The sequence below is a fragment of the Homo sapiens genome, chromosome 10 (assembly GCF_000001405.40).
Source record: "Homo sapiens chromosome 10, GRCh38.p14 Primary Assembly".
Lineage (NCBI taxonomy): Eukaryota > Metazoa > Chordata > Mammalia > Primates > Hominidae > Homo > Homo sapiens.
Window position 1 is genome coordinate 5,561,975 of NC_000010.11, and position 17,804 is coordinate 5,579,778.

Below are 17,804 nucleotides of genomic sequence, written 5' to 3' on the forward strand. Positions count from 1 at the left end.
GTACCCCTCTCCTGGTAAAACCCAGGTCCCCCTCTCCTGGTGTCCCCCGCCATCCTCCTCTCCTGGTATACCCCCAGATCCCCCTCTCCTGGTATCTCCCCCCAGATCCCCCTCTCCTGGTGTCCCCCTCCAGACCCTCCTCTCCTGGTGCCCCTCCCGTCCACAGGCACTGCAGGCAACCCCTCCACTCCCGACCATGGCTCCAGCCCTCCCACTGGCTATACCTCCACACTGGGCCCATTGCACAGCTAGCTCTCGGGTTGGACAGACATCTGATGGCCACATCCCTGTGGAGGGAAGTGTCTCTAAAGGACACACGGTCCCTGAGGGATGTCTTGTGGTGTTCTGTTGTCAGACCACCAGGTCCCACCAGCAGCCATGCCTGTATCTCTTTATCCTCTTGGTCCTGACCCCTTTGTTCTGGTCTGAACATGGCCACTGCTCCTGGAGCCCCAGTGAGGGGAACCAGAGACCACGGCCACTGTCTCCCAGGGTTCCCAAAACCCAAACAATGGGGGCCGCCTTGGTGTGCGTGAGCCCTCCCTCCTCCTCCCTCAGAGTCTCACAAGTCCTCCACAAAGCAGCTGCTTCTGCCTCACAGAACCATTTATGGGGCCAGTTACTGGACTGCTACCTATGACCTTCCATCTCCACCCCAGAACCGAAGCACAAAACTCCCACCTCATTGCTCCCTGACCCAGACGAAAATTCCTCCCCTCTCAGCCAGAGAGGAGTGAGTGAGGGTATCTGAGGCTCTGTCTCGGTTTAGCCTCAAACAAAGGAACTGTCTCTGTGCAATTATTCAATATGAATTGTCAATGTCTATTTCCCCCGTTGTCTTCTTTTCAAACTTTACTAGGCATAGTCATAGAAACTTAAATTTCCTCCCTACCTAGCAATTCTAATAAAAAGCTTTGGTCAGTTATACACTGAAATTTTTAAGGCTGGAATGGTGGGTCATCTAGATTTGCCAAGAAACAGCATGGGGGATTATGGGGAATATTGATAAAATAAGGTTAATTAGGAATTGAAAGCTGTTGATGATAGTGTACACAGAAGCTTATCGCCATATTCTGTTTGCCATTATGAATGCGCAAAATCTTCCAGCAAAATGTGGATGAGAAATAAATAAATAAAGTAAGAATGCTGTTGGGGCGAGAGGCTCCAATGCATGGCAGCACCACCGTTTGGGGGTTCTCTCTTTATTTCATTTCTCCACGTGATCTCTGGCACCCTAGTAACCAAGATTTGGCTGGCTGTGTGTTCCTAATCCAACAAAACCAGCCAGAGCTGGAATTGAAGTCTTCGAGGTGGAGTGAACCCCAGTGAGCCCACCCCAGGGCTGCCCCCCCAGGTCCGCCTCACAGACCCACTTCTGCAGCCCCCCGTCAGGTCCCCCTCACAGACCCACTTCTGCAGCCCCCTGTCCAAGTCGCTGCCCCAGGTCTGGACACGGGCTGGAGGGTCATCGTGGTAGTTGCCTCTGAGTCAGCAAAACGCTGCTGTCACCTGTGAGGTCTGCAGTGCGTCTCAGAGGAGTGAGGTCCTGGAGGGGTCCTGCCAAGCCGAGATGCCGGAAATGGGGAGCTGCCGGGGAGGGGAGATGGGAGGTTGGAAAACGGTGTCATGGGAGTTCTCTCCTGGGCCTTTAAAGTGCCCATTCTCAGACAGAGGAGTCCAGAGGGACGTCTGGAAGCTTGGTTTGGAAGAAATTCCAGACTTCCCTGGGCAGCCAAGGCATTCTCTAGCTTTCTACGATCCAGGCCTGGCCCCTGCCTCATAAATCTCGCAGGAAGCGCTCTCAGGAAGGACGCTACTGGCCTGGGGCAGCCTCGGAGTTGAATGAAGATGGTTTGACTCTGAGAATGACTGGCCCCAGCCAGATTCCCCGTGGGGCAGCCCGTCTGTTTGGAAGTCTCCTTCCCCGCCGGGCCTGCACACCCACCCCTCCTGCCACATCAGCCCCAATATCTCTGCATTGAGCCCAGTGGGCACCTTCCCTTCCGTTGCTCAGAGAGCTTCAGAGACAGACCCTTACTCCTGCATTGATGTCCATCCAAGGGACGGGGCTCAGGCTGTCCCTTCCAGCTCACGAAATAGGTGCAGAGCCAGGCAGAGCAGCCCAAGTGTGACTCACACCCCGCCAGGTCCCGTGGGCACTTTCTCAGCAGGGTTGTGGGGGCAGCAACTCCATCCACTTTCCTCTGTCCCCTCACCCGCCCACCACTGCCCACGGCCAGAGTCACTGGAGCAGCCTCCATTCCGTCCCTGCACGGCAGTCACCATGATCTCTCCAAACCACAAGTCAGGGTGTTGCCTCTGCTTACAAGCCTTTGGTGACTGCCTGCCGTCTCAGACATGCTCAGCAGCAGTCACACTCACCGCCCCGTCATGCCTGTCTCTCACCGTCCTCCCGGCTCGCTCTCCTCTCACCAGGCTTAACGGCCACACTTCCTGGGGCACTTCTGTGACCCCAGGGCCCGGCTGGTGCCCTTCCACGGTGGTGCTTCACCACCTTGCAATTGCTGGTTTACATCCCTGATCACCCAGACTAAACGTGAAGGGCCAGGACTGTGCTGAAAGTCCTGAAACCCAGAGATGAGAGCTCAGCTCAGACCGCACGTGATGCCTCGGTGTGGACATGTGCCCAGCTGAGCGTGCAAGCCCCTAATGGCCGCTCAGCAATGCTTGTGTTTTCTCCCTTGAAACTCTGGAGCAACTGCAGCCAAACATCCTCTGCTCACTCTGTTTGTATCTCTGTCCTCTAAATCAGCCCTCTGACTTCCTCCCCGCCTGCGATGAGACTGTGAAGGAATAACAACATCCGGAGGAGATTGTGCCCCAACTTGGCTGTCGAAGGGGCCTCATCAGCCACCTTCATGGCCCAGACGGTCAAAGGCTGACCCCACAGAGTAAGGCTGGCCCTAGGAAGAGTGGGTGCTGGGCAAGGTCCACCGTGTGCCGCAAGATCCCCCATTTAATGCAAACAACATCTCAATGAAAGATAGCATCAAAGACGGCAGTCTGAAGCCCAGGGAAGGGCGTGGACTTTGAAGTTGGGCAGGTTTGAGTTTAAGTGTTGTTTTGCCACTTCTGCTGTCTGTACCATCTTGGCAATCTGTAAAATGCATATAACACCTCGTGTGTTAGGGTGGGTCCTTGCTGCAATAACAAACAACCCCAGATCTCAGTAACTGCGTGCAATGAAACACCTGCTTCTCCCTCACACGAAGCCGAATGTGATGGTTTCTAGTTACATGGTTCTCTTGGGTGGGCTTCTCCCAGGCCGCAGCTCCACTGAGCTCCATAGTCCCCCGCTGGATCTCCTGCCCTAAAGTGGTCAACAGATGAAGAGAGACGGTGTGAGTATTGGGCAGGAGGTTTCTGGGGCAGCCTGGAGGTGGTGTCCTCCAGCATCACTCCCAGGGGCCCCGGCTGCAAGCAGGACATGCTGAAGCTGCAGTGTTCTGGGAAAGACATAGCCCCGCTTCTGCCACACCTGCCTGGCAGAATTGTCATGTTTTAGGGGACGGCTCGTAAAATGGCTTAACAGGCTCTTGGCCCAGGGACTGCTAGAATAGTGAGTTTCCTTCTTCTCTTCGCCTTTGGTGATGTTGGGGCTGGAAGATTTCTAGAATGAGCTGTGTCTGTAAAGAAGCCTCAAGTCTTTTTTTTTAAGCACCCGCGGATGAGGCTTTTTGAGGCACTAGCCGGGCATCAGAGGCCCAGGGAAGTTCAAGGGTTCACCCTGATTGGCCTGAACATCTGGGAAGTTCTGGGCTGAGCACGATGACAAATGTGCCTCCCACCCCCACCATCCACACTCATCTACCCACACACACGGGTTCTGTCCTGCCCCGAAGGAAGATGGTTTCAGGATGACTGGATTTCTGAATTTCCTCCGTGCAGATTAAGGAGGCTTAAGAAGCCCGCCTGTTGGGAGGAAGCCTCCGACCGGAGCTGCTCTGGCTGGGAAGGGGTGGCTCAGGGTGGTGCCTGCTGTTCAGCCAGGCTCCCCGAGGCAGGTGGGATGAGACACCTGGGTGGGGCGGGCAGAAGCTCAGAGTCTGCACGGTGCCAGGGAGGATGATGAGGGCGAGGATGGATGAGCCCACAGGGGTGCATACTCCACCTCCCGAAAACACAAGGAGCTCAGCGGCTGCACACACAGGCAGCACAGAAAAGAACAATGGGGCAACTCGAGGGCGTTCTGAGGGTACCTCTTGCCTACATCACCTGGTTTTAGTCATCTCCCACGTGCCTGCCTTCAGGCTGATGGACTTCTGTGAGATCCCTGGGTTGCTGGCTTTGAAAGCCACTGGGTACCGACCACCCACATCTTGGCAGGGGAGCTCCCATTGCTAACATTGCTTCATAAAGTGCCACTGGAGAACAGCTGTTGAGTGGTGACCAGCCCCCAAGGAGTCAACCGCCTTTCCCACCCCCAACTCACCAGAGTCCCATGAGGACACCCCACACTCAAACCCAATCTGGACAAAACTGTCAAGGACCCTAACCCAGGCGTGCCCCCCACCTTCTCATCCAGCTCCCTTTGACTCACTTGGGTGGTCGCAGCCGCCGGCTGTGATTTCTGGCCCATGCCTAGTTATTTTAAAGGCCAAATTTTCACAGCCATGCAACAGGCCCTTATCTCCAGGCCTTCAGATGCTCCCATGTGGCTTGTTTGATTCTCCTTCATATCAGCCCTCTCTCAAGACTCAAATTTCATTTCAAACCAAATTTCTCTTTTCTCCATTCTGTTGACTGGGCATCACCATGGCAACCCCCACCCCCATTGCAAACATCCTCTGAGGAACGGGCCCACATGCAGGGGCTTGAACCTGTCATCGCTGTGAGTCAAGGTGAGATGAGCTCACTTCCCTTGATCAGCCATGAGTACTGAGTGCAGCTTCAATTTGTGTCTTTGTCACTAGGACAACTCTGTGACTAGTGTGCTTCGGTTAGGGCAAAAAGTCCTTCTCCAGGAGAAAGAAGTAAGTAAGTTACCTGCCTTTACAGACAGTTGGTCCAATGGATAAAACAGGGGCTGCCAGAGAACCCTACAGAACAAAAAACCTATCATGCAAGATTATTACATATCTATCTTTTTTTCTCAGAAAAAGGCTGGGTGCTGTGGCTCACACCATAATCCCAGCACTTTGGGAGGCCGAGATGGGTGGATCACCTGAGGTCAGGAGTTCGAGACCAGCCTGGCCAACGTGGTGAAACCCTGTCTCCACTAAAAATGCAAAAATTAGCTGGGTATGATGGCATGTGCCTGTAATCCCAGCTACTCAGGAGGCTGAAGCAGAATTGTTTGAACCAGGGAGACGGAGGTTGCAGTGGGCCTAGAATGCGCCACTCTACTCCAGCCTGGGTGACACAGCCAGACCCGTCTCAAACAAACAAACAAACAAACGAACAAAAACCTACTAAATACCACCTATAACAAAAATGAATTTGAAGATTTCTCACAAACTCATGGTCACAAGCTTCTTTGGTAGTTGATTTTGTTGAAACAAAAGCTGACCATAAATCCACAGAAGACAATTATGAAGGAAAGCCACCCCACAAGCTTTGCTACATCCAGTGAAAAACACGTGCTGCACACATGAGTCTCCAGGATATGAACAAAATGTTTACGAGCCAAAAATTATGAAGAAGGTATTGATCTCAATACATTTTATTAGCATCCAAATAGCCATCCACAAATATTTGCTCAGTGATAAGGAGGAATGCTACCTTGTTCAACATCTATATTCTAGAAGTTAATCATTTTCAAAGAATCAGCTCATTAACTAATAAATAACAATGTTGTCTTCCACCATAGTTTAAGGCAATACCCCTTCTTTTCCTATCCATCTGCATGGTTTGTTTTGTTTTATGATGTGAATGTTATATATTTTATCAATATATGGACTTCTTAATGAGCCTGAAGACAAAAACCACATCCTTGCTGTGGCTATAGGAGGCGATATCTCTCCGAAGGTCACATGGGATCATTTCTGATGAATACACCAGGTATAAGGAGGTGTGTCTCTCAGACCTACAACAATCTAAGGAGGAATGCCCTAAACCTTGGTTCAAGGGATGATTTCATGCTTGTATACATACACAAAAGTCCATCAAACTGTATAGATTTGTGCACTTTATTATATCTTGGCCTTATTTTTAAAAACAGAATAAAATTATCAGTGAACCTCAGAGAGGGTCTCAGTTTCTCTTGCTTTTGACCACAAAAGTGTCAAATTCCTCCCAAATTATGGAGAGAAGCTAGAAGGGAGAACAACTAGGGGCTCAGGCAACACGGTTGTGAACTGTAGTTAACGTTTAAGGGCCGGGAGATCTGTATCTAAGCAAATCATCAGTAAATGCCAGCTTATCTCAGACTTTGTAAACTAATTTGTTTTATGCTTCCTGAATTCTCATTTATTCTCCTTCATTCTCAGTATTAGACAAAGTACAGTCAATGCTTGTCATTCTCAGTACTTCTGTTCTCTAAAGTCACCAAGAACAGTGAATTAGCAAATACAGTCAGCTCTCCGAATCCATGGATTCCAAAACCTCAGATTCAACCAACCCTGGATTGATAATGTAATTAGGCCTATGATGGTTACATCTGTACTAAACATGTCTATTTTACTTCTTGCCATTATTCCCTAAACAATATAGTATAACAACTATTTACATGGTATTTACATTGTATTAGGTGTTATAAGTAATCTAGAAATGATTTAAAGTATACAGGAGGGTGTGCATAGATTATATGCAAACACTATGCCATTTTATATCAGGGCCTTGCATATCTTTGGATTCTCGTATCCGCAGATGGTCCTGGAACAAATCCCCCAAGGATACCAAGAGACAATTATGCTGAACCATTGTTCCCAGGAGAAATATGGGGTATGTTCCTACCAGCCCTGACCATAGCATTTTTGTCAACCAATCCATATATAACTTTGTTTTATGTATGTTTCTGTTTAAAGGCACCTTATTTAATATAAAGTGTTGATTCATTGGTGGGTAAGTAGTTGGTTGGTTAGCGGGTGGTTTGTTGGCTGACTGGTTGGTGGGTAAGTGGTTTTTGGTTGGTTGGTTAGTTGGTGGTTGGTTGGTGCTTGACTGGTTGGTTGGTGATTGGCTAATTGGTTGGTTGGTGGTTGATTAGTTGGTTGGTTGGTAGGTGGGTGAGTGGTTGGTTGGTTGGTTGGTAGGTGGGTGAGTGGTTGGTTGGTTTGTTGGTAGGTAGGTGAGTGCTTGGTTGGCTGGTTGGTGGTTGATTGCTTGGATGGTTAGTGGTTTATAGGCAGTTGGTGATTTGTTGGTTGGCTGGTGGGTGGGTGAGTGAATGAGTGTGTGGTTGGTGTGTGGTTGGTTCGTTGATTGGTTGTTGGCTGGTTGAATGAATTAATAAATTTTGCTCTCAAAAGCTCATAGTCCCCCCCAAATCCCTTCTCCATCTGTCATAAAGTCTGATATTTCTAAAGTTAAGATCCTCGATTAAAAAGCATCATGGAAATGTAAATATTTAAACTGGATCACAGAACTATCTTTCCTGGGAGGTGAGAACTCACTAATGAGTTAATGAATGGCACAGGATTCATTTCTCCAGTCATTTTTCCCTTATGATTCCATGACACCCGTGGAAAGAATGGGCACAAGGTAGGTATGTGTCTATGGAAAAGAGGGAAGAAGTAAGAAAACATCTGGAGTAAGACTTTCCTCTCTAGTCCTAGAAAAAACCATTGTGATGCCAGGAAAAAAAATTATCTTCTCTCAAAAGAGTGTGTTTACCTTTAGACAACAGCTATCTGTTGTAAAGGCTCATCAGTCCCTCAGTGTGTCACTGTGATCACAAATCTCCAGGAAAGGAAGATTTTGCAGGCAAAGTTTCTGGGAAACATTTCACAAGAGAACGGCAGCCCAGCAAAATGTGCATTTGGGGAGCCTGGCTTGGGACATGCATCTTACAGCCTGGTTTGCTGCCAGGATCCCCCAGGACACTCTCAAAAAAACAGATCTCTAGGCTCCCCCGAAACCTTTGGAAATATTCTTGAGGGACCAAACAAGAAGCAGATACTTCCGAGAAGCCCACCAGGTGAATCTGACGATGAGCCCAGGTGTGGAATCTCAGGCAAGGCCTGGTGGAAAATCCGTGGTCTGCGAGGAGAGCTGCCTGGGAACCCGGCACGACGGGGAGACACTTGAAGGAGGGGCACATGCGCCAGAGGTGAAGCTTTGCCCTCTCCAGCACAGAGTGGGCCGTGAGCTGTCCGCCACAAAGGCGGAGAGATGAGGTAAGAGGGAGGCTGCATTGTTTTGATGTCCAGGCACAGACTTGGCATCCACCAGCCCAGGCAGCGCCACAGCCAGGCTGGCTCTGGAGGAAAGGGTGGGCCATGGCTTTGAAGCCAGGCAGGCACACTTCCTCCAGGGCCCGGGTCTGCATGCAGGGGCACGAGACTCAGAAGCCAGCTCGCCCATCTGTTTCCGTTACATGCAGATGGGGCAGAGGGCGGAGGGCGCAGGGCTGGATGGGGACCAGACTGTGAAGCCTTCGGGGACTGCGTCCAGCTGCATCACAGGTCTCATCTGGCCCAAGGAGGCCGGTGGGGCGGTGTCAGGGAAGCCCAGTGTCCAGGGCTTTGAGTGCTAATTCTTCTTCCTGGACATCGGTCCCCCTCCTCACTAGCTGGAGGCAGGGTCCCTGCCTTGCTTTTGCAGGCACCCAGTGCCTGTCGTCAAGCCTGGCCTACAATAAGTATGTGGTAAACATTCATTAAGTTGAACTGAATGCTCCTTTCAGTGAGAAGATGAGCTCTTCCATCTCTCTCATTAGACAGAGGTCCCCATCAAGGGGTTCACATCAACTGGTTGTTAACAAAAAGAGGGACCCTGGCCCAGCCAGCACCTGCACACAGGAAGCATTCAGTGATGCTGGCTTTGTTGATTTGCAATGACCATCTGCAAAACTCTCTTCCCTTTATCCGGGTGTGGGTTTGGTTCCTGTGTATCCAGATGAACGTAATTGCCATCATCGATACCAGATACCCAACCATGACCCCTTCTTTTCCCCTTTTTTCAACTTCTACTCTAAGTGTAAACAAGTTAAATGATTTGGGGTTGTTTTGCCCTCATCTGATTCAAAAAGAGGTGATGAAGCATCTCGGTTCTACCAGCTGTGTGATCACAGAAAAATTGCTCAACCTCTCTGAGTGCCAGTTTTCTCAACTGCTAAATGGATTTACAAAACCCACCTCGCAGAGTAATTAGAAGGATTCGTGTACCTAATGCACTGGAACAGAGGCGGTGGTTGATATCTAGAAACTAGTATTATAATATTCTCCATCCTGGGACAGTCTAGCCCTAGGGACTGGATCCCAAGATCATGGTGTCCCAGAGAACTTTGACCTTCACAGCTGCAAACAGATGGAGGGACAGGGCTCAGAGGTTCAGCAGGTCCCTTCTGTTCATAGAACCCATTGCTTTGTAAACAAAGTCCTATCTATTCATAGCGACAGAGTTTGAACCTCCTTGCATTTTTGTTCATGCATTTACACAAATGTGTGTTTTATGCCTTGTTTACAAGTGTGAGTGGTGTGCTTACTGGGTGGGGACCCGCACACTCCAGGCTTGGACACTCAAACAAAGAGCTTCCCAGGCCCAGCGCCAGGCCCCTACAGGAGCCCAGGTCCTTATCCTCGGGGACCCTGCGTTCCTGATCACAGCCTTTGTTCTCTGGACCTGAGATCAAAGGTCCAGAGGAGGTAGTTTGCTGGCAGCCAAAACTCGTTGGATGGTGGAGTCAGACGGAAGGGTTCTTGGATCAAGGTTCATCCCATGGACCATCTACTCACTAAGGTGAATGGAAGCAAAATTTATCAATACTTTTTATAAGTTGATGCAAGTTTATGGATATTTATTAACACAATGTACTGAATGCTTACTACATCTGGGATTTGCAGGGCAGAGGAAGACCAACCCTAGCTCTGGCCATAATTGGGGCCCGAGCTCTCAAAGCCCACAGGTCCAGGTGCAAAGGACAGAGATTCTCCACATGGGCGCCTCCTGGGGCCGGTACAGCTCCTCACACCTGGCCCCACACCTTGGGCCCAGCCCAGGGGCATCAGTGGGCAACTCATTCTCTTTAGAATTCTTGCAGCTGGATAAATGCAGCCTGGACAGTCGATTCATGGTTATCGAATGGGGGACAACCATGGATCTTAAAAGTGATTTCGTTGATGGGTTTTCTTCCCCCTTTGGGCTGTAGGTTTGGTCCGGGCTGGCCGGGAACAGAGCCGTTTAACACCGCGCTTATGCACCATTAGGGGCTTGGATGTGTTTGCTCCTGATCCAGGTCAGAGATTCCCAACTTTCTCTTCTGAGGAGCTGCTCTTATCTATCCTGAAATTTGGTTTTAGCCATGGAAGAGGTTTCTCAGAGCACAACCAGTAGGCTCCGTACCAGCTTCTTCCCCCGAGAATATTTGTCAGCAGTCAGGAGGAAGGCATGACAGCAGGACCTTCTTAGAGGGCGACAGCCAGGTGGCACAGTGGCCAGCACCACTCAGGGCAGCTGGCGCCCCATCCTCCAGGAGCTGGAGCTGTTGCAGAAGGGTCTGGGTCACTCCTGCCCCTCCAGGAGGCAGAACCCCAAGAGTCCATCCCTAGGCTTGGAGGAGCCGCATCAGCCTCCTAACCTCTCTCTTCTTGTCATTGCCACATCTCACATACAAGAACAAGCATGTCTGCAGCCTCTGAGCACTCGGCCAACAGCTGTAGGCCTGCCCACTTCTCAAACCCATTCGGATTGCAAAGCCCCAAGCTCTACACGCCCAGCACTAGAAAGAGTGGCTCTTTGCTTCTTCACTGGGATGGGCTCACACAGATCCAAAAACCTCCTCCCCAGTTCCATTCAGCCTTCTCCAGACAAGCACCAAAATGCTTCCTTCTGCCTCTCCTTGGCATGTGCTTGTGATGCACTTGCTCACGCGGCTTTTTATGGCCACAAAGTCTGGAGCTGATCCATTGGGCCATGCAGGCCTGCATGACAGCATAAAGAACTTAAAGTTGGCTGGGTGTGGTGGCTCATGCCTGTAGTCCCAGCACTTTGGGAGGCCGAGGTGGGAGGATCACTTGAGCCCAAGAATTCAAGACCAACCTGGCCAACATAGTGAGACCCTGACTCTACAACAAATACAAAAATTAGCCAGGCATGGTGGTGTGCACAGGTAGTCCCAGCTACTCAGGAGGCTGAGGTGGGAGGATCGCTTAAGCCCAGGAGGTCAAGGCTGCAGTGAGCTGAGATCATGCCACTGCACTCCAGCCTGGGTGACAGAATGAGACCTTGTCAAGGAAAGAAGGAAGGAAGGAAGGAAAGAAAGAAGGAAGGAAGGAAGGAAGGGAGGGAGGGAGGGAGGGAGGGAGGGAGGGAGGGAAGAGAGGGAAACCTAAAGTTCAGAGGATTAAATACACTGCTGAGGACAAAGACGATGACTTTCCCCAGTGATCCTCCAGGCTCCCTCACCAGAGTTATTTAACCCAGCTCATCCAGGCCCCTGAGAGAAATTAAACATTAAGCAAAGAGAAATCATGCAGCGGGCAAGTGACGAGAGCAGCCAGAGAATACACTGAGACTCCCAACTCCCACCCAGTCCACTTCTAGCAGGAATATCCACTTCCCTGGAGACATTTCCACTGGGTGACTGACATCTTCTAGGGCAGATGTGACAATTTAGCAAGCAGAGCTGGAAGGACTCGCAGGCTGGCGGGCTATGCAGATATATAAGTCAGTGGCATCGAGTGTCCCAGGTTGGAAACGTGAGCAAATCAACCAGTGTTCCGTATTCATCCCGTAAAGGAAGTTGGTGCATAGTCTCACAACTTACTGAGAACTCGCCATGAGTCAAGGTCTCTGCTAAGAGTTTTTGATGCATTATCTCATAAAATTCTCATGATAGCCCCAGGAGGTGGTTATTGTTATTTGAGGACCAGAAACCTCTAGCAGCCAAACTGGGTTCCTAGGTCAGGGCCCATTAAGTTGCAAATCCGGCCTTCATCACACCTCAGCGGCTCTGTCACTGGCGTGAGATGCTGGCTCTGTGTGTGTGACATCTGAGAACAGCATCCACCTCCACGCACCCAGCAACTTCCTGCAGTGCCTGGGCCTGCTACGAGGTCATCTTACAGGAGGTTCAGGACAATAGGCAGCTGCTCCACCAGAGTGAGTGGTACAGGGTGTTCTCGGCCTGATAAATACACGAGGAATTTAATTATCTGACGGGCAGAAGCTCCCGGGCTGCCCAGGCCTGCTGCACAGCCAGCCGAGAAAGAAGAATCAGGTTATGAGACTTCATGAGGTCAGCAGGTGGGGCGGCGGGGTTGCCCCCATGCAGGAGCCCCCTCGAAGGGCCGGCACACACAGATTTCTCTGGACCAGTCACAGTCTGAGTGAAAGGCACCAAGAAGGGGAAGAGAGAGGTGCAGAGAGGCTGCGGGGATGAGAGGAACTGAGTAAGAAGAGTAAGGCTGGAACCCAGGGGTCCCGACCCTTATCACAGCAACGCAATGACGCCACCCCCCAGCTCTTACAGAGAACGCTCATGGGACAAATGCTGATCATCTATTAACCCATTCCATCCTCTCAGCCACCCCTGAGGGCCCGGTGTCATGGATGAGGAAACCGAGGCTCACAGAAAGTGGCCTGCCTGGGGTCCCGCCGCGAGGGAGACCTCCTCTCCATCACATGCCTTTCTGCTGCAGGACTTCACCCTCCCCTGCACCTGGTTCATGATCCAGCACATTCTTCAGGATCCAAAGGCCACAGGGCAGGGTCCCAGCTGCACTCACAGGCACCTGCTGCTTTCTGGCAGTCATCGTAAACGCGCAGTGACCTTAAATAATACAGGCTACGGGACACTCAAAGGCACGTCCACAGATGCACAGCCAGCCCGTGCAGACGCTCGGACGCTGCCTGCCCAGGTCCAAGCTGCTCTCCCACACCCCTGCAGGGCACAGCCTCCTGCCCCACCCACACTGCAGGGACCAGGTCCCTCTTCTCCATGCCTTCCTTCTCTGGAAAGCCTCCTGCTTGGGCCCCCACATGGATGTCACTTGCTTGTGATGAGCCCTCTCTGACCCGTCACTCCCACAAGGCCATCCTGGCAGGGGTAGGAGCGTGGCTTGGCCCTCATCTCGTTTACTAGCCATGGCATTTTCATTCTCTGTGCCTCTGGTTCCCCATTTATAAAGTCCCATGGCCTTGGGATTAGAGTGTGTGTGTGAGGCAGGTGGCAGCCCCGTGCAGTTGAGACTCTCGCTGCTCCTGGGCTGGATGGCACCTGGTCTCACCCAGCACAGCAGTGGTCTCTGATCCACCACGTGGCCCCGGGAGGCAGGCACTCGGCACAGACTGGGTGGTCTGTAGGTGAAGGAGAGAGATCGTTCTTGAATATTTGTGCCGAGTGAGAAGGGAAAGCATCAATAACCCCAAGAGAAAAGGTTCCTTCCTAATTACAGGCCCTCGAAAGGTGGCGGCGCTCAGAAAGCAGGAAGAGCCGTAACACATTCCAGAGTTAAAGGAAAGATGTTTCCATTTTCTCCTGGCACTGCTCTATCCCTGTGAGGTTGCTTTTACTCAACTCCCTTGTAAACTTGTGGGGGCCGATGAGTCACATGCTGATTTTGTGCCTAATTCCTTAAAGGGGGAACTACCTCATTTCTGTCGTTAATCTAACGGCGTGGATGTCACAGAAACCAGCCCCCCACAAGGTGAGGGCTTTATTGTGACCCCAAAGCAGGACCTGGCGGAGAGAAGCTGTGGCTCCGAGGGAGGCTCTTGACAGGCACTAATGGGCTCGCCAGAGCCACACAGAACGCGAGCGGTGAGAGGTGTGACTGGAGAGGACCTGGCTGTTCCGCGGTCTCACCTGCACCTGCTCAGACCAGGTGGCTGAGGGTGGGCCTCAGGAGGGGACAAGGGGCCTTCCTGGCCAGCTGGGTGGGGGCCGGGTGAGAGGGGCATCTTTCCCCTCTGCCACCTGCCCCAGACCGAGGCCTGTTCTGCCCAGTATGTCCTCTGCCCGGCAGCTCAGAAACAAGCTCGGGGGTGGGCCCAGCGCCCGCAGCGGATGCCAGGAGGTCTCTCCCTCAGCAGGGGCACAGGAGCAGCACAGGCCAAGGCCAGGCCCACCCTTTCCTGGGCTCTCCTGCCTGCTGCGCCACCCTCCCCCAAACACAGCCTCAGACCCATGGTGCCCACTCCCTCCCTCCCTCCTTCCCTCCCTCCCTCTCTACCTGTCTCTCCCTCTCTCTCTGTCTCTCTCTCTCTGTCTCACTCTCCCTCTGTCTCTGTGTCTCTTTCTGTGTATCTCTCTGTCATTCTCACTCTCGTTGTCTCTCTGTCTCTGTCTCTCTCTGTCTCTATCTGTCTCTGTCTCCCTGTCTCTGTCTCCATCTGTCTCTGTCTCTGTGTCTCTTTCTGTGTCTCTCTGTCACTCTCTTTCATTCTCTCTGTCTCTCTCTGTCTCTGTCTCCATCTTTCGGTCTCTGTCTCTGTGTCTCTTTCTGTGTCTCTGTCACTCTCTCTCACTGTCTCTCTGTGTCTCTCCCTGTCTCTCTCTGTCTTTCTCTTTGTCTCTGTCTCCGTCTCTCACTCCTGTGAAGAGGCCACAGCCCCTACTCCCTGCACACACACAGCTTCTCTGCCCTTGGTCCCCCCAGACCTTTGCTGCCACTCCCTCTCAGTGGGGACAAGGAGGAGCAGTCAGGGGCTAAAGAGAGGGAAAGACGCAGATGCCAGACACCAAAGAAAAACCTTCAGTTTTTCCTTGAAACGCACGTGTTTCTAGTAGGGGTTCCTGGGACGTTCCAAGAGCTGGGCTCCTGTTTCCTCAGGGCCTAGTCCCTGAGCTCAGGACCTTGTACTCAGGGAAACAGAAGGCAGCCCTGGGCCCCAGAGCTCCCCTGCGAGTGTGCACATGCTCAGATGCTGACACCCGAGCCTGCACACGCCTGCACATGTATACGCTCACAGGCACATGCTGACACACTCAGACACACATGCACATGCGCACACACACCCTGCACACACACACCGCGCGCACACACACACCCCGCACACGCACACCCCGCACCCACACACCCCGCGCACACACACCCCGCACACACACACCCCGCACGCACACACACACACCCCACACACATGCCCCGCACACACACCCCCCACACACACACACCCCGCACACACATACCCCACACACACACCCCACACACACACCCCGCACACACACACCCCGCACACACACAACCCGCGCACGCACACCCCGCACACGCACACCCTGCACACGCACACCCCGCACACACACCCACACACACACCCCGCACACACGCCCCACACACATGCCCCGCACACACACCCCCACACACACACCCCACACACACACCCCGCACACACACACCCCACACACATGCCCCGCACACACACCCCGCACCCACACACCCCGCACACGCACACCCCGCACACACACACACCGCGCACACACACACACCCCGCACACACACACCCCGCACCCACACACCCTGCACACACACACCCCGCACCCACACACCCCGCACACACACACCCCGCACACACACACCCCGCACACACACACCCTGCACACGCACACCCTGCACACACCCACACACACACACACCCCGCACACACACACCCCCACACACACACCCCGCACACACACCCCCACACACACACCCCGCACACACACCCCCACACACACGCACACCCCGCACACACACCACAGCCACACCCCACACACACACACCCCACACACGCCTTGTTCCTCAGCACATCATCCCCATAGAGGTAAAGGGTGTGTATATGAACCAAGCAAGCAACCTAAATGAATGCAAAGTATGTATAATGAAATACACAGCGTGATCTCCACGACAAGAAGCTAAAAACGATGCATGCCTAAACCCCCATGGCCCAGGTGTTAGGAGGCCTTGGTTATCCTTTGTCCCTCCTCTGGCACCTCCGTCCCCTACTTACAGCTCAGCGTGTGCCCAATGTTAAAGGTGCTGAAGTTCTTCGTTTTTTTTTGAAATGGCGTCTCACTCTGTCGCCCAGGCTGGAGTGCAATGGCACGATCTCCGATCACTGCAATCTCCGCCTCTCAGGTTCGAGCAATTCTTCTGCCTCAGCCTCCTGAGTAGCTGGGATTACAGGCACGCACCACCACGCCCGGCTAATTTTTGTAATTTTTAGTCGGCTAATTTTTGTAATTTTTAGTAGAGACAGGGTTTCACCAAGTTGTTCAGGCTGGTCTTGAACTCCTGACCTCATGATCTGCCCGCCTCAGCCTCCCAAAGTGCTGGGATTACACGTGTGAGCCACCGTGCCCGGCCCAAGGTGCTGAAGTTCTGGGCGGGCTTCACGAACACACATGGGAACTGTCCCCACCACCGCCCCAACACGCGGGAGGGCTGAGGGGCAGCCCCAGCAGAGGTGCTTGGGAGACGGACCCCAAGGCCATTATCGGGAACCAGCAGAAGGTCACAGATACTCTGCCCCTTCCCAGCCAGAAGGCTGCCTCCCATTTTATTACGTTTTCTCACTTGCTTAAACCTCTGGTAAACAGAAAATGGTTTCAGAATTGTTAACCCCTACCACTGAGAAAAGCAAACCTACTCACCAGGGTCAATATCTGTTCATAGTGTTTCAGAAGTAAAATTTACACACAATGAAACCTGAAATGTACAGTCCAGTGCATTTTAATGTACAATCCATGCATGCGGCTCACATCCCTACCAAGTCATATGGCATGTGTTTACCATGCTAGAAAGCTCCATTTGGCCCCCTCCTGACCAAGTTCTCACCCAGCAGCAGCCACGGATCTGATTTCTCTCAATATAGACTGGGTTTGCTGAGCTGGGGCTCCATCTAAATGGAAGCAAGTCTGGGCGCAGTGACTCACGCCTGTAATCCCAGCAGTTTGGGAGTCTGAGGCAGGCAGATCACTTGAGATCAGGAGTTCAAGACGAGCCTAGCCAATATGGCTAAACCCTATCTCTACTAAAAATACAAAAATTATCTGGGTGTGGTGGTGGGCACCTGTAATCCCAGCTACTCGGGAGGCTGAGGACCAAAAATCACTTGAACTTGGGAGGCAGTGAACCAAGATCGTACCACTGCACTCCAGCCTAGGAGACAGAGCAAGACTCTGTCTCAAAAAAAAAAAAGGGGGCCAGGCTTGTCGCTCATGCCTGTAATCCCAGCACTTGGGAGGCCAAGGCGGGTGGATTTCCTGAGGTCAGGAGTTCAAGACCAGCCTGGCCGACATGGTGAAACCCCTCTCTACTAAAAATACAAAAATTAGCCGGGCATGGTGGTGCACGCCTGTAACCCCAGCTACTCAGGAGGCTGAGGCAGCAGAATTGCTTGAACCAGGGAGGCAGAGGCTGCAGTGAGCCAAGATCATGCCACTGCACTCCAGCCTGGGCAACAAAGTGAGACTCCATCTCGAAAAAAAAAAAAAACATCCACACATCCGTGCACTCTTCTGTATCCGGCTTCTTTGGCTCGGTGCCATGTCTGCAGGATTCATCCATGTCTTTTTAGTTCTTTTCATTGTGGTGCAGGAGTCCGTTATGAGAATATAACAGAATTCGTTCATTCATTCTCTTTCTGATAGACGTTGCTTCCCGGTTTTCGCTATCATAAATAAAGCTGCTATGAACATTCTTGTACAGGTTGTTTGTAGACATATGCTTTCATTTCCTTTTGATAGATATCTTGCAGTGAGATGT

General features: G+C 52.1%; 1 long non-coding RNA gene across 1 annotated transcript, besides 3 other annotated features; it reads right to left on the minus strand.

The window, feature by feature from the left end:
* Window positions 1-1,186: 1,186 nt before the first annotated feature.
* Window positions 1,187-4,907, minus strand: LOC105376381 (uncharacterized). Its single transcript, XR_001747274.2, has 2 exons — window positions 4,562-4,907; window positions 1,187-3,331 (listed from the first exon to the last, which is right to left on the minus strand). It is a non-coding gene; the product is annotated as an uncharacterized LOC105376381 (long non-coding RNA).
* Window positions 1,970-2,196: a silencer, noted in NCBI's record as "fragment chr10:5605907-5606133 (GRCh37/hg19 assembly coordinates)". NCBI's record gives its function as "represses an EF-1alpha promoter that drives an FKBP-Casp9 reporter gene in an ReSE screen in HepG2 liver carcinoma cells {active_cell/tissue: HepG2}" and the evidence as "EXISTENCE:reporter gene assay evidence [ECO:0000049][PMID:32094911]".
* Window positions 11,524-11,693: an enhancer, noted in NCBI's record as "experimental_13268 CRE fragment used in MPRA reporter constructs". NCBI's record gives its function as "activates a minimal promoter by MPRAs in K562 erythroleukemia cells, with activity observed for both the introgressed and non-introgressed 10:5615546 variant alleles {active_cell/tissue: K562}" and the evidence as "EXISTENCE:reporter gene assay evidence [ECO:0000049][PMID:34662402]".
* Window positions 12,136-12,751: an enhancer, noted in NCBI's record as "H3K4me1 hESC enhancer chr10:5616073-5616688 (GRCh37/hg19 assembly coordinates)". NCBI's record gives its function as "activates a minimal SCP1, AML or CMV promoter by ChIP-STARR-seq in primed H9 embryonic stem cells {active_cell/tissue: H9 hESC(primed)}" and the evidence as "EXISTENCE:reporter gene assay evidence [ECO:0000049][PMID:30033119]".